Source organism: Homo sapiens, chromosome 5 (assembly GCF_000001405.40).
Source record: "Homo sapiens chromosome 5, GRCh38.p14 Primary Assembly".
Lineage (NCBI taxonomy): Eukaryota > Metazoa > Chordata > Mammalia > Primates > Hominidae > Homo > Homo sapiens.
Window position 1 is genome coordinate 29,151,887 of NC_000005.10, and position 16,274 is coordinate 29,168,160.

The window sequence follows — 16,274 nt, forward strand, 5'->3', positions numbered from 1 at the left end:
CTCTGTTCCCAATATAGAGAAATAACAGCCATTGATGCAATGAAATTTTGCTGATGCAGTTCTCCTGCAAGTCAAGAAGCATAAATGATTCAAGGAGTTCCAGAATATGAAATTCATTTATTCTTCCAAAATTATTTTATATATTTCTATTACCTAGAACTTTTTTTGGATTTGAAATAATAGAAAATGAATGATGTCAGATTAAGCACAATGGATACAGGGTCTCCTCCCAAGCTAGAGGCAGAAGAATTAGTGTGCAGGAAGGCCTCAAGCATGCCTGAGAAGCTGGTCTTTAACGTATCTCCTTCTCTTATTTTGCTGGTCACCTGCTCCATTATTCTTCCTCCGGATGGGCAACTGAATTTATACGGCAAAAGAGCCTATTCAGATTTCATGAGTTTACAAGTTAAACATCCAAAGGACGTGGGAAAAGTGATTCTAACATCAGTTGAAAATTCTGTGGGAAGAAGTTCTGACTGTTGCAATTTAGAATAGGTACCCACTCCTTGTCCAGTTAGGTGCAACTGTAGGATTGAGTAGAATCTCTCTGCAAATAAAATGGTCTGACCCTACCACTATACAAATGTTAGAAGCTGAACTCATACTCACTCTTTGAGGGAACTTCTGATAATTATGCCTGAGTATTGTATTATTATATGTATATAATTAGTAAATAAGTAACTATTATTTCATTGTAAGTAGAGTCAAGTGATTAATTAAATTTTCACTTTTCATATTTTAGCTATGTTGCCTCCAACCATCAATAAGTGATAACAAACAAAGGGGATTTGCAGTTAATTTTGTATAATCGTAGATTCCTATGGGGAAGCCAGAGTTCTTGCATGTTCTTTCTGTAATATGATTTCATTGAACCCTTTCTTCCTTGTAGCTCATTCTCTTCACATAATTTCAATCTGTGTCATCAGCTTATTTTCTTTCTCTTAGGATTAAAAATTATTTTAATAATAGGCTCCCAATTCCTCACAGCAACACAAATAAAATAAAGAGAAAAGAGGAGGTGAAGCAATCCCTAATGAAACAAAACATATATTTATGTTTACCTTTTCAGCACAATGTGTTGACAGGCTGGATGAATTAAAGTGTGCATTGGGGGAGGGGAAAGCTGCATTTTAGGCATTTTTCTAGATATTAACATTTAACATTTAGTTTCACTTCATTCTTTAAATATGTATAATTCCCATGCATATAAATACATTGGATTTCATTTCATAGGTTTTCATTAGGAGGCCAATTTGTAAATGTAACCAATAAGCATTCAAATGATTGCTGAGACACTGAATTTTTTTAATTACTCATGTATGTTGAGGAATTCTGATTTTTTTCTGTAGTTAGAATAGCTCTCCACAATACTAACTAACTAACTAAATAAATAAATAAAACAACCATTCAGTGGCTTAACAAAACAAATTTATTTCTCATCCATTTAGCTGATATATGTAAGCATTCCTATCTAACGTGGGATTGTTTGCTTTCTATGCTGATTCAGGAACCAAGTTGCTTCCAGAGTAAAGTTCTCCAATCCACTCGATATTTATAATTCTCTGCCCTCAGTCCTCAATAGGAAAAAGATGCCTCCCTGGTCGACCTTCCTGGAAAGTATGCATATCATTACTGCTTAGATTTTGTTGGAGAGAAATCACACTACCATCAAAGACAACGGGTCAAAAAGAATGCCGTCCTAAGCTGAGAAGCCATCTTCCTAACGACAGCCATGTAATATGAAAGGGAAAAACACACTGTTATTGAAGAACTTATCAGCTATGTCACATCTTCCACACAAATACTCAGGAAAGTTAAAAGAAAATTTTACCTCGGACACAGTTGATGTACCTCAGTCTTGTACAAAACTTAGAACTCACTAAGTCTGAAATAAGACTTTAAACTCTCTCTGAGGTGAAGTTGTAATACAGTGAGAATGATAATATATAGTATATTAGGATTTACTTACTCCTGTGTTGTTCTGGACTATAGACTGCCACACATATCAGATGCACATGACTGACATGTATATCTTCATTTTGCTATTATTTGTGGTGAACTAATACAGGATTTACTGTAAAAGTATAATAATGCAGTAGCAATATACTAATAAATCAATGCAGTTAATATACAAGTGCTGCTTATAAGTTACTGTGTATTCATCAAAGCCACAGAATTTGCAAATGAAATAATCTATTACATAGTCTACAGCTTGTGAAACTAAAATTGTTTAAATTTAAGTGCAAATTCATTAAAACTTCACTTAAACAAGCACTATTTCATATATAATAACATAGAGATCTTCTTTGCTCAATTCTATATGAACACATTTCTACTCTGACTTTATAATTTTAATGTTCTGATGTTTTTATATTTATATTTTTATATATTTGTTCTTATATCTTGCCTTGTTATTACTATGTTTACTATTGTTGAATTTACTAAATCTTTGACTGGGCTTATTTCAGTAGAAATACTTTTAGTTAATTGCAACCCACTAAGATTTTGGCTTCCAAACTACAGTATTGAAAATGGTAAATAGACTGCTAGGGAGTGACATAGTAAAAACTCATTAAAAACGCTAATTAGCAAGCTGAATCGTTCTGACATACCCACTTTACTAATCCACTAGCTAAATACACCATAAAAATGAGTCTGTATTGCAAGTGAGCAAATATCCAAAGGAAGGCCTTTTTGAGTTTCCAGATTACTTTCAATTAACTGAATGCTGAATAGTCTAGAGTATGATATGCTGTGTTATCAGAATTTTAATAGAAGTCCCTAAATGAGCCTTAGAGTCTAATCATACTATTTCCTTAACTTATTTAGAGGATTCTTGATGAATCCTATGTTCTCTCTCACTCTTCCCCTTCCCCTCTTCAACCACTTAACCATTTTTACAGATTTTGGTACATTTATAATAACATTTTTCACATTTCATCTTTCATTATATTTATATACAAATATTATCAGTTCTACTAGATAGAAAGCTCTGTGAAGTCAAGGATTAAATTCTGTCTTCTTAGTTACCTATTAATGCCCTGTTTAGTTTGAATTTGTATAGATACAGTACTATAGTATCTATACTGTGAGTGTTGAGTTTGTATAGATATTGTACTAGGACTTGGAAAAGTAGTTCTGGAAGTTGGAGATGGTATCTGATTAACAGTCAAGTTAAACACAACTCTTTCCTTTTATTTTCATTACTTCTGTATGTATGAATGTGTGTGTGTGTGTCTGTGTAATTATATTCTTTTAAAATACAATAAATAGATTTCTTTATATTCAGTTAAAAACATGGACACAAAGTGGGGATTACGTGTTCCTTAAAGTCTAGTTTTAATAAGCCTCAAGGACTCACTGATCGTCATTTCTTTTTATGTGTGATGCTTTAAATTACCAATGCATATTTTAAAGACTGATTTTGGATACTTTCTAATTCCTCCTTAAATGGAAATTCCAATTTTTTATTTTTTCAGAGACATGAAATTCTCTTAGGTTTTCACCACATTAACACAGTTTCAAGGAGTTCTCTACTGAATATTCTGACCTGTACTCTGCACTTTAATGATCCTTGTATACACATTTGCTTACATAAGTTTCTTATTTCCAACTTTGTTGATTTGTCACTTCTGCCTTCCCTTTAATTTCTTGATTAGTTAGAACTTATAAGAAGTTTTTCTACGTTGTTGGTTTTTCCTCCCAAAACTTCAGTTTCAGCTTGCTTGTTTATTCTTCCCTCTCTCACTACCTCTCTCTCTTCTCCTCTGCTTCATATTCCTATATATTTATTTTTCTTTACATTTTCTTTTAGTTTATGTTGTCATTTGACTAATAATTTTTATATACTTATTTCTAAATAAATACCTTAAAGCCTAGGACATTGTACTGAATATGTTTTTGTTTGCTACATGCCGCAGTTCTGATTTCGGATTACTGCATTTGGAGTCTAAATATCTTATAGTTCTAATTTGTTAGAGGGCTAACATTTCTTCTGTATTTAAAGTTCCACTGGAAATATCTTTCATGATAAGAAAAATTCATAAAATTTTCTCTTCACTTTCCCTATTCATCTCTCCCTTGGAGGCTGAGTGTGTTCACTGATTGCTCTCCGATATCTACTTGTCCAGTATTCCTGATAGTAATGTATTAATCTCTAAGAAGCCTGAAGGCTTGTCGCGGTGGCTCACGCCTGTAATCCCAGCACTTTGGGAGGCCAAGGTGGGTGGATCACGAGGTCAGGAGATCGAGACCATCCTGGCCAACATGGTGAAACCCCATCTCTACTAACAACACAAAAATTAGCTGGGCGTGGTGGCACGTGCCTGTAATCCCAGCTACTTGGGAGGCTGAGGCAGGAGAATTGCTTGAACCAGGGAATCGGAGGTTGTGGTGAGCCGAGATCACGCCACTGCACTCCAGCCTGTTGACAAGAGCAAGACTCTGTCTCAAAAAACAAAAAAAGAAGCCTGAAAGTACCAGAGATTCTCCTTGTTTTGTTGACTCTTTCCTAAATTGATATGAAGCAATAATCCTAGTTGGTAAGAATGTGCTACTCTCCTCAATATTTTCCAGGTTGAGAATCTCATTGTTTAGGCTAGAAAGATGGCAATTCATAGATCATTAGTCTTTTGACTATAAATGTAAATCCATATTATATAAATGCATTTGTCAGTATTAAAGCATGCATCATAGTTTTAATGATCTGTCCCCCAATTTATTTTTTAATTTGCTTGTATTCTAGCAGGTGTCTTAGAAGGCTCCTGCTGCTATAACAAAATACCTGAGCAATTTATCAACAACAGAAATCCATTTTCTCAAAGTTGTAGAGATTGGGAAGTAAAAATTCAAAGTGCTGGCAGATTCAGTGTCTGGTGAAGTTTTGATCTTTGCTTCCAAGATGGAACTTGGTTGTTGTGCTCTCAGATGTCGAAAAGTGGAAGGGGCGAAAGGGTCTGGCCTGTTCCCTCGAGCCCTGATAATAATCACCACCTAAAAGCTCCAAGTCTTAATACTGTTACGTTGAGTCTGAGACTCCAACATATGAATTGTGAGCAGACACATACATTCAAACCATAGCAGGAGGGGAAAAAGTATATAACAGAATAGTACCTTAAAATTTTAACTTTTTAGTGAATTGGTCTGAAACCTCGAAGAAGAAAAATAAACAACGGACATGGAGCAATCTAAAGTCGTCCAAGTGGGTGGCTTCAAATTTTAATTTTAGTAAATACAGTCCAGGCAAGGTTTTGACAGCAGCAGTTCACTGAAGATTACTCTCGTTTTATCTCAATCATAGAGTTTATTTAGTAGGGAGAAGACTGATGTTTAATAGGTCACTGGCAAGCCTGGTAACTAAAACTATGATATCCTTTGCAACTGACCATTATCATTTATATAAGTTTATTTTTATTAAGCTGGCATGGCAGAAGCAAGGATATATAGAGAAGAAAAGAGTCTTTTAGAATACTGGTATTTTATATATTGAGGACTAGAAGTATGCATTGAAAATTTAGCCTAATTGTTTAAGAAGGTCTGAAGACTTAAATTTACTCTGAAAAGAACTAAGTTCCAAATGGACTGCAGGACACGCTGTGTGCACTTTTTCCTGTGCAGTATTTAATGACATGCCTTAAACTTCCTTCCACTGAGTTTTGTTCTGTTTTCAGATCATGAGGGAAATTGTAGAAGGTTGTATCACTACTATTTATGTAAACTACCCCTTGACATAATTGCCCATTGGAACCTAATTAAAAGAAGTCCCAACATTGTTACACTATGCTAATTACAGAATCTCTGTGTTCAACCACCCATTGTTCTGACCACCTTTCTCTGACTCTCACCCAACTCAAGTCCTTTAATCTTGTTTACTCTGCCTAAATTCATGTTTTATCATAATAATTAATCTGCAGACATGCTCAATTCCTTTCCTCTTCCTTGCTGTTTATCTGCTTACCAGGAGCAAAACCCTACTTAAATACAATTCTTTACATTTTCATGCAACTGAAGAAACTGGAAAAAAAAATGCTTTTCTGACTGCTCTCATGAAATTCTTGACCATGTACCTCAGGTAGGATTTTACTGAACAAAAATCATACAGCATTATTCAATTCTAAATAACCATTTCATATTTTTTCTTATCTTCTCAAATATCTAATACATTCTCCAATTGTACTATTTACTGTTGCACTGGACACTTTAAAGCAATCAGAAGAAAATTTCCACAATGAATTTTTGTGTGGTCACTGTGAATACTAAAATATACCTCTTTAAGGTTTCACAATCTATCGTCAAACACAGTCTAATGCTTAACCAATCTATCTTCAAACATATTCTAATGCTTAACCAACAGATAAAAGTGTTACAAGGGAAAACCTTTAATACATTTTCTCTTTTCTGGCATAACTTCTAAAGTCATTTATTTGATTTCTGTATATATAATATAAATCCCAGATCACATCAAAAATTATTCTTAAAATATCTTTTATTTTGCATATATGTCATCATTACTCTTTTCCCCCAGTTTTTGTAATAGCCTGTTTCTATCAGATACCATTTCTCTGGTTTAAAAGAAAAAATATTAAAAAGCATGTTTTTATATTTTATTTCCTCTACAGCAGATCTGTTCAAGAAAAATTTTTCAGCTTGCCTAAAAATGTATTTGTTTTGACTTTGTTTATGAAAGACACTTTCACTAAAATTCTAGGCTGACTGTTTTTTTTCATAATTGTTATTATATCATGTCATTGTTTTCTGAGCTCTATTGTTCATTTGCTGCAGTGCAGAGATCTGTTATTTTCATTGCATTTCTCCTTATACTGTTTTATTTTCTTCATCTAATGGCTTTTAAATGTTATATATTTTTTTCAATTTGAATAGAGTGTGCATAGGTGTGCTTTTTTCTGCACATATTCTGGTTGGAATGTGCTGAACTCTTTGAATATCTGGGTTGATATCACTAACCAATTAAAAATACTATAAAACATCATTTCTCAAATATTTTTAACATCAATTCATTATATTTTATATTTTATCTGGGGCTCCAATAATATGTATATTAGACTGTGTGATATTGTCTCACAAATTTCAGATTATTCATCATTTTCTTCTTTATATATTCTCTTTTTCCCTTTTGTAATTCAAACTGTGTATTTTCTACCTGTTTTCAACATTATTTATTATTATCTCTGCTAATGAGTCAACAAACAATGTATCTATAATATAACACTTTTAGTTTTTTGGGTTTTTTTTTCTTTTTTTTTTTTTTGAGACCGAGTCTCTTTCTGTCTCCCAGTCTCCCTCTGTCACCCAGTGGTGCAATCTGGGCTCACTGCAACCTCCGCCTCCTGGGTTCAAGTAACTCTCCTGCTTCAGCCGCCTGAGTAGCTGGGACTATAGGCACATGCCACCACATCCGGCTAATTTTTTGTATTTTTTGTACAGACAGGGTTTCACCTTGTTAGCCAGGATGCTCTTGATCTCCTGACCTCGTGATGTAGCCGCCTCAGCCTCCCAAAGTGCTGGGATTACAGGCATGAGCCACCACACCCAGCCAACACTTTTAGTTTTGATAATTTTCATTTTGCTTTTATTAATTTTTAAATTTCACTTTTTCCCCTGTATGTAATGAATATTAATTCCCTTTATTGACTAGGTTTCTTAATGTATTTATCTTGTCTATCTGTAGTAATTCTAGAATTTGTTATCTCTCACTCTTGTTCTATTGACAGTTTCCTTTCTTGATGATATACCGTATAGTGCCTTGTTCCTTTGTGCTTTGTAATCTTTTGCTTAATTGGATGCCAGACATTTTGATCATATAGTCTTACAAATGAAAGTAGGTTACATTTGTCCACAGAAAATTGTAGGCTTTCTCTTCTGTCAAGTTGAATACTTTTGAGGTAATCAAGTCTGCGTTGAAACAGTTTCGTTTATTATTATTTTGCTTTTGTGGGGTTCAATTAATTGCATACTTCAGGTTTTTTTGTGTTCAGGACCAGAAGCTTCTGTTTTTCAAAAAGTCATATTTCAATTAGCTCTTTCGGCTTTTAGCCTTCAGCTAGCCTGAGGCAACTGCAACCCTGGAGAGATCTCTGCCAACTTTCTTGCCCCTCATCCAGATGCAGGTATCCAGTGTTTAATACTCACTGTAAGACTAGGAGAGACTTTTTCACAGTCATTAGTGAGCCACAGACTCTGTCAACTCTCCTGTGTGTATTGAGCACAGACTTATCCACTATTTCCCCAACTGTAAAGGGTGGCTGCCTTGGACACAGTTAAAGCCTGAGGTGCTTATAGTGTTCATCTCTGTTTTCCAAACTTGCCCTAATATTTCTGCAGGCCTGATACATCTATACCACACAGGGTAGTATCTCCAGGTGTTTTGCTCTGCCTACAATCTGTCTGTGAATATATCCTGTCTTTAAATCTATGCCTGTAGAGAGTGCTCCTTCTTATGCTAGCCATCATTTTGCCTTTAAAAGAGTCATAAAAAGAATTCTCATTTTCTGTCTTCTTACCCAGGTCTGTTCTTTTTACATCTATTGCTCTATAAGGATAAAAGCAACTATGAGCCTCTTTGTGGGCAAGAGGTATTTATCAAATTGTACTTTAGTTCATTGGGTATTTTTGTGACATGAGTTCTTATATGCTTTTAAAAATTTGTTGGTTTTCTACTTATTATTGTCAGAGAGGATTCATAATTATCTTCCACATGATAGGTAGAAGCAGCTTTTCTCTTTGCTTAAATTGCAATAAAATCCTTGGAATTATGTTGGAATGCACTAATTTGTGTCTACTTGACGTTTCAAATCCTTAATAGTATGTATTATTTAGATCTTATCCAAGATTTCTAATTTGTAAAATTTTTAAAATACTTAGAACTGACTCGTAATAGCTGTACCTATTTTTGTTTCATATTTTTTGTCTATATATTTTAAAATAAAGATCTTAATTTTATTCCTGTAAATATCTTGAATATTCTTAGTATATTTCATGTTGTTAAGTAACATTTTTTTCTGTTGTGAATTTGTATTTTAATTATAAAATGTATTGGTTATCTTTCTTAGGTTTATCACCTAATTTTAGATTTTTTTTGTTATTTTGGACTTCTCTCTCTTTTGCATACTCTTGCGCGCTCTCTCTCTCATCCCTGCTTTTCCCTCCTTTCTCCCTATGATTCTCTCTCTTAAATTTGACCTGTGAGGCTTGATCCAGGTTCTCATCCAGGTATGGAATGGGTTTAGTCCATGTTTTGCTGCAGGAGTCAAATTTTTGCCATCTGCCTATGGAACTAAAACTCCTTTAGACAATAGGATAAGTATGTTCGCTTATTTTTTTATTGTTGCTCTCTTTTCATGTTGATTTATTGGTGGTGGTTTTAATTTTAGTTGTAGATGTGTATTCATTTTATAAGCCCAGTTTTGTAACTTTTGTTTTGCCTACTGTCCATTGATGTATTTGCAGCAAATGTGATTGTTGATGTGTAAATTCACTATACCACCTTGGCTGTACAAACCACCCCTCTATTTTTAACTATTTTTTTTTCAAGAAGCTCAACACAGATTTCCTAGCACAATTTGTTATCAATAGTGTTAAAAATACATATATATGATAATCATAGAGCCCAAACCTAATGCTATAATGTTGTAGAAAGGCCAAGGCTCATGGAAAAGCAGAGTAAATGAATGCTGATTACACAATGTGTTTGCTCTTCTCTTTGCCTTTCTCTTCACTGTGGCAGTAAGCAAGAGAATGTGAAAAAAAAATACTAGTTAAACTCTTTGACTTCTATTAGCCTTTTTGCCTTCATGCTACTACTTAGTGTCTCCTGGATAATTTAGAAAACTTCTGCTTAATAACTATAGTGAAATTGGCTTTATAATTTCCTGAGGCTTCCATTAGGTGGAGGCAGCAATTTAGAAACTCTCATGGATAACATAAAACAGCTAAGTGCTGGTGCAAGACATTAAAACACAAAAGGCTTAAGCTGAAAAAAAGGGCTTTAAACTAAAGCTTATAAAATATTGGTGGGCTTTTCAAGTTTATATTCAAATAGTTAATGGCAGGGACTGTCTTCTCACTTTCATCAAATTTTATTTCAAATTTCCCTTAATGTGTAGTTCTTCAGTAGCCTGAAATTCAAGCCAAAAGCCCTTTACTATTTGAGTACAATTTCCTAATCTTTGTAATTTAACTGTTTGAATAATTTTATATGTCCTTTAGACTCCAAAAAGAGATTGCAAGCCACAGGACATGCTTTGTTTTAAACCAGCAGCTTAGTCTTTCTGGCTCTCTGAGACACGATGGGCACTGATATTGCAAGCTGGCTTAATGAATGAAGCCTTTGAATGAATGTCCAGAAGAAGCTAGGAAGTTTTTGTTAAAGTATCTGCTTTTGCTTTTTGAATCCCATTTGCTGCTGTTTTGGCTGTTTAATATTTCTGAGATCTGTGTAACAATGATCCTGACTTTCTTGAACCAGTAAAAGAAATTCATTTCTTATAATGAGAATATTTGTTTCTACCTAGGATTGCTAAAGTCCTATTGCATGCTTTAAGATGCCTTGCGTTTGGTGAATTGAAGCCTGATATGTCAACATACTCTCTGTAAACACAGCAGCACAGAGGGCAAAGAAACACTTATCCAGCACCACAGCTAGGACAAAAGGAATTATTTTGACAGTAAATGGACTTGCAGCTTAAGTTAAGTGCATTAATATTGGGATGGTATTAACTATACAAAATTGTTTCTAAGCAAAGGTGACCAGATGTCCTAATTTGACTGATTGATTTGTTTGCTTAGTTAAATACCCTTGTAATTTGATTGTTTATAGATGTTTGCCTACTCTTATTTTTATCAATCTGCTAAGTGCTATGCATAGAAAAGTATATATTTGAAATTAACTATTTTTCATTACAATATTCTAGCTTATGTGCTTATTTTTCATAAACTATTTATCTAGTAATCACCATGAAATCAAATGGTTATTTGTAGTGGGATGGTTCTAAAAATATTAATGTGATATTTTATTTCTGATAGTATTTAATAAGACAAGTCCTAAATTTAAAACCATGTATTTCTTTATAGACAAATCTTTCTCTTTACTCACCAACTCTTTCTACTCTTTTGTGGTAGAACTTTTTGTCACCATTTTATTAGCTCAGATTGTGAGCAAAGACACATTAAAATGGATAGAGAAGTTGATGTCACAATTGCTAAACTGATTAAAATAACTGAATAATGATTTTAATTTACTCATTTTGGTTAAACCAAAAATACTTGTCTCTACCATCAAAAAAATGCAAAAGTCCATGTTTTGGAGCATGTTAATGAAATATATAATTTTTAAAATAAACAACATCAACAGTTGTCAAAAATTAAAGCGATAAAAATATAGATTTCATCTCTTGGCAGGGTAAAGTCTTCATGTTAGTTGAATAGTAAATGTTACTCTTTCAAATTAAGATGTCTCTACCAAATGGGGCATTTAATAAGGACTGACAATTTGGATCCAAATTTATTGTTCTGTGACCATATTAAATTGAGAAATACAGAAGTGTACACATATTAAAAATGTACACTACATGATTCCCAATTTAAGAAAAACTAAAGACAAACTATAAAATACATAGATCAACCACATGTTTTATTCATATTACTTAGCATACTTCAAATGAAGTTTCAAAACTCTACATTGTTTGTGTCATGTTAATAAACCATACTATCTTGAATAATCATGAAATAAAATTAATTGAAATAATTCAACTAGTATGATAAGTGTGTATTTAATTAAGTCAATTGCAAGCATAATAAAGAAAAACAATAAAAAATCACAATTTTTATTCAGTTAGAGGTTGTAGTATTTGTCCCCAAAGGAAAATTAATCTATTCATAGTTGCCTTAATATTGGGGATAGTATTCTCAAACATTTTTAGGTGTACAAACTATGCCTTTTTGTTTATCTAATTTAAAGTTATCAAATTTACAGCAAATGTACTTTGGAATATAAACTCTCCTTCAATAATACAATCCAAAAAACAAAGACTTATTTCTGAAATATACTATTAGAAATAAGGCATATTGGCAGGGCACGGTGGCTCACGCCTTAATCCCAGCACTTTGGGAGGCCAAGGCCGGCAGATCACAAGGTCAGGAGATTGAGACCATCCTGAGTAACACGGTGAAACCCCGTCTGTACAAAAAATACAAAAAATTAGCTGGGTGTGGTGGCATGCGCCTATAGTCCCAGCTACTCGGGAGGCTGAAGCAAGACAATCACTTGAACCTGGTAGGCGAAGGTTGGAGTGAGCCGAGATCGCGCCCCTGCACTCCAGCCTGGGAGAGACAGAGAGAGACTTCCAGTCTTAAAAAAAAAAAAAAGTCGTATTTAAAAAACAAGGAGTAACTGAAAAAGTAACTATATAACTAATATATTACTCTCTGAACTATGTAACAAAAATATTTCTCTACAAAATACTATTATTCCTATAATCCATTTATTTCTATATACCATGTTTGTGTCACTATAGGTTGGTATGTACCCAATTGTGACTAAACCAAAAGAAACAAATCTGGAAACTGAAGTATCAATACGTGAAAAGCGTTCTTTTGGTATTGGGAGTGCCAGGTACTTTTGCCATTGTATTTTACTTAGTAGTAATAGCTGGCTTTTTCTATTGAGCACGTGCTACTACAGAAATTTAAAGGGGTTATTTCTAATTTGGGAGAAAAATAGAACAAACAGCTTTTAATCTTATAAATAATCTGCTCATTGAAATGTCTTATTTAATCCAGATCTGTGCAAAATGAACTTAAAACTAATTTTTAAAGCAGTTGGAAAGCATCATTTAACAAAAGAGGTATCTGTCATAAATTTAGGTCTATTTGTGCACATTTTCTAAATTTTAAAATATAAATCAAATCTTTACAAATTAAATCATGTTTCGTTCTTGATTTATGTTACCATTTTAGAGTTGCTTTCCCTTGACTTATTGGTATAAAGTTGGAGATAGCTATTAACATCTTGACTGTGTCTCTTGCAGTTGTCTTTGTTTCATGAACTACTTCTCCGTAATAGCATGCAGCCATCTTCAAGAGGTGAGAATTTCACTTAGCGACTTAAACAGAAGTGTTATCTCAAGATAATATAATATCTGGAGGTATGTGGCTGCTACTGTTTGGTGAGTAATTCAGAGTAAAAGGGACAACATTGCTTGAGATTTCTGTGGCCTTTTCTATAAGATCTATCCTGTGACTTCAGTCATCGTAATCATATTCAACAAAGAAGAGAGAAAAAGATGGCAGAAAAATCACTCCCTTGGAAAGGAGAGTAAAAGTTTTCGTTGAGGCCGGGCGCGGTGGCTCACGCCTGTAAACCCAGCACTTTGGGAGGCCTAGGCGGGGGGATCACGAGGTCAGGAGATCCAGACCATTCTGGCTAACATGGTGAAACCCTGTTTCTACTAAAAATACAAAAAAATTAGCCGGGCGTGGTGGCGGGCGCCTGTAGTCCCAGCTACTCCGGAGGCTGAGGCAGGAGAATGGCATGAACCCAGGAGGGGGAGCTTGCAGTGAGCCGAGATGGCGCCACTGCACTCGAGCCTGGGCAACAGAGCTAGACTCCATCTCAAAAAAAAAAAAAAAATTTTGGTTGGAGATTCCCAGCGGAGTTCTTCTCTAGTCTTCTCTAATATAAATTATTTCAGTGGTCATTTCTAGTAACACTGGAGAGTAGGCACAGGTATTTGGCTTCTCCAATTTCTGGAGTGAAGTTGATAAGGGAGGAATTATTTGGGAATGGGTGTTGGGTTAGCCAACTATTTTTCTGTCTCTGAAATTTTGCTTGACTCTGGCTTTTGTTCATCACTTCTCATGTGATACAACATTCATGTTCATACACACTCATCTACCTAAATGTTACCTTTTCCCAAAACTCTATCTATACTTCATCTCTAAGTTCCATATTCATACTCACATGCAGTACCAACCTGCTTCTCCCTCCTGGTATATATTAAATATATTAGACAACTCAATGTGCACCGTTTTGAAAGCCTGCCAAAAATCAAGCATCCCCTGACTCCCAGCAGACATATAACACAGCAATAACAACAACCCACCCAGGCATTAAACCCAACACACATGAATTTTTAAGGGACATCAATGCTAGAAATTCAGGCCATGGCATTAAACTTCCCTCACCCCTTTTCTCTATCATGATCTGCTTAGAAAATCTCTAGAGCTATTAGAATTTGCTCAAATGCAAACAACTTGAAGGCAGTAAATCTTGTTTCTCTCTGAATCTTTGCAGCCTAGAGGTTTACATAGCCTGCAATAGACACTTTACAGAATGTTTGCTGAACATCAAGAGATTTATGATTGGTATACATTCAGTGGTCTCATTTTGCACAATAGAAAAGACCTATATATTATAACAGACCTGATAATTTCCAAAGCTTTATAAGCCATTATTTGCTTTCTTAGAAAACAAATGACATTGAAAATTTTTGACTTAAATTTGGCTTATTGAAAAAACAATACATTGCTTTTAAGTTTCCTGTGAGGAATTACTTTTGAAATTGTGACAGCTTGCAGCATAATATTGCCACCAAATTAATTTTTAAAATCTACTACTTAAACCATTTTATTGTATCAATGGTTTTAACAATGACAAATAATTTATGCCCTACTCAATGTTCTAATTAAAATCAGAAGTTTACTCTGCACTTCATCGAAGCAGGTATCAAAATGTGCTCAAAATAATCTGTGATCTTCCCCAACCCCGTGCCTGAAAGTATGTGTGTTGTGGGTAGGGAAATATTTTAAGAGTTTAAATGAATGTTGGCAATATCTTAAGATTGATAACTCTTATTTTGTATATTGAATAAAGACTCTCAGATTGATATGCCTCTTGGCATAATATTGCAGAAAAAAATTTTGCCTTGGAACTTAAACTTTCAATATTAGGTTAGTTCAAAGAAGCAAGTCACCTCTGACTTTGAAAGGAATACAAAATGTAAGACTTGCATTTGCCAAATGAAAACCACTTTGTTATTTGTGTGTGGTCATTGACTCTATGGTCATACTGTCAAACTTTCAGGTAGATATTTGGGATGTCACATAATTGTTTTCATTTATGAGGTCTGTAAACAGGATCCAAATTTTTGTGGTTCAATATGTTACGTAAGTATGAAATTAGATATATTTTAGTTGATTTTCATTTCCTAAATGAAAGACATCAATCCCATTTAGATTGTTGATCTTGATGTTTTACTAGTGTTTTGGACTGAATAATTTCTCTCAAAAATGCATCTGCGGATGCCCTAATGCTCAATGTGAGAATATGTGGAGACAGGACCCTTAAGGAGGTAATTAATGTTAAATTATGTGAAAAAGGTGGCTCAGCACTTTGGGAGGCAAAGGCAGGCAGATCACCTCAGTTCAACAGTTCAAGGCCAGCCTCGCCAACATGGTGAAACTCAGTCTCTACTAAAAATACGAGAACTAGCTAGGCGTGGTGGCACACTCCTGTAATCCCAGCTACTCAGGAGGCTGAGGTAGGAGGATGGCTTAAACCCGGGTGTCGGAGGTTGCAGTGAGCCGAGATTGAGCCACTGCACTCCAGCTTGGGTGATAGAGTGAGACTCTGTGTCAAAAAAACAAAACAAACAAACAAAAAAATTGGGGCCCTAATCCAATGTGACTGATGTCCTTTTAAAATGAGGGAGAGGCACCAGAGCTCACTCTCTCTGCTGCAGCACAGAGGAAAGGCCATACAAACACACAGGGAGAAAGCCACCATCTGCGAGCAGAGGAGTGGGGCCTCACCAGAAACCAACCCTGCTGGCACCTTGATCCTGGAATTCCAGCCTCAGAACTCGGATAAAATAAATTTATGTGATTTATTACACCAAGTTTGTGTGATTTTGTTATGGCAGTCTGAGCAGACTAATACAACTTGTGAATCAATTTTCCATTAACCTTACCTGATAAATGGTATGTTGTGCTTTTCTATGAGACAGCAGAAGACCTAAGAATTGAGCGCACACCGTTATGACGTAAAGAAATTAGCATTGAAACTGCAATTTATGTGGCAGGTTTTTTTTTTTTTTTTTTTAGATGGAGTTTCGCTCTGTCACCCAGGCTAGAGTCCAGAGTTGCAATCTCAGCTCACTGCAAGCTCCACCTCCCAGGTTCACGCCATTCTCCTGCCTCAGCCTCCAGAGTAGCTGGGACTACAGGCGCCCGCCACCACGCCTGGCTAATTTTGTATTTTT

General features: G+C 34.8%; 1 long non-coding RNA gene across 1 annotated transcript in view; it reads left to right on the top strand.

Annotated features, from left to right (window-relative positions):
• LINC02109 (long intergenic non-protein coding RNA 2109) overlaps positions 1-16,274 on the top strand; it is a 29,473-nt gene that overhangs the window by 8,384 nt on the left and 4,815 nt on the right. Inside the window, exons 4-7 of the long non-coding RNA NR_130777.1 lie at positions 1,573-1,734; positions 10,530-10,704; positions 12,531-12,628; positions 13,044-13,160. This is a non-coding gene — a long non-coding RNA (long intergenic non-protein coding RNA 2109). The remainder of the gene's footprint in view (positions 1-1,572; positions 1,735-10,529; positions 10,705-12,530; positions 12,629-13,043; positions 13,161-16,274) is intronic.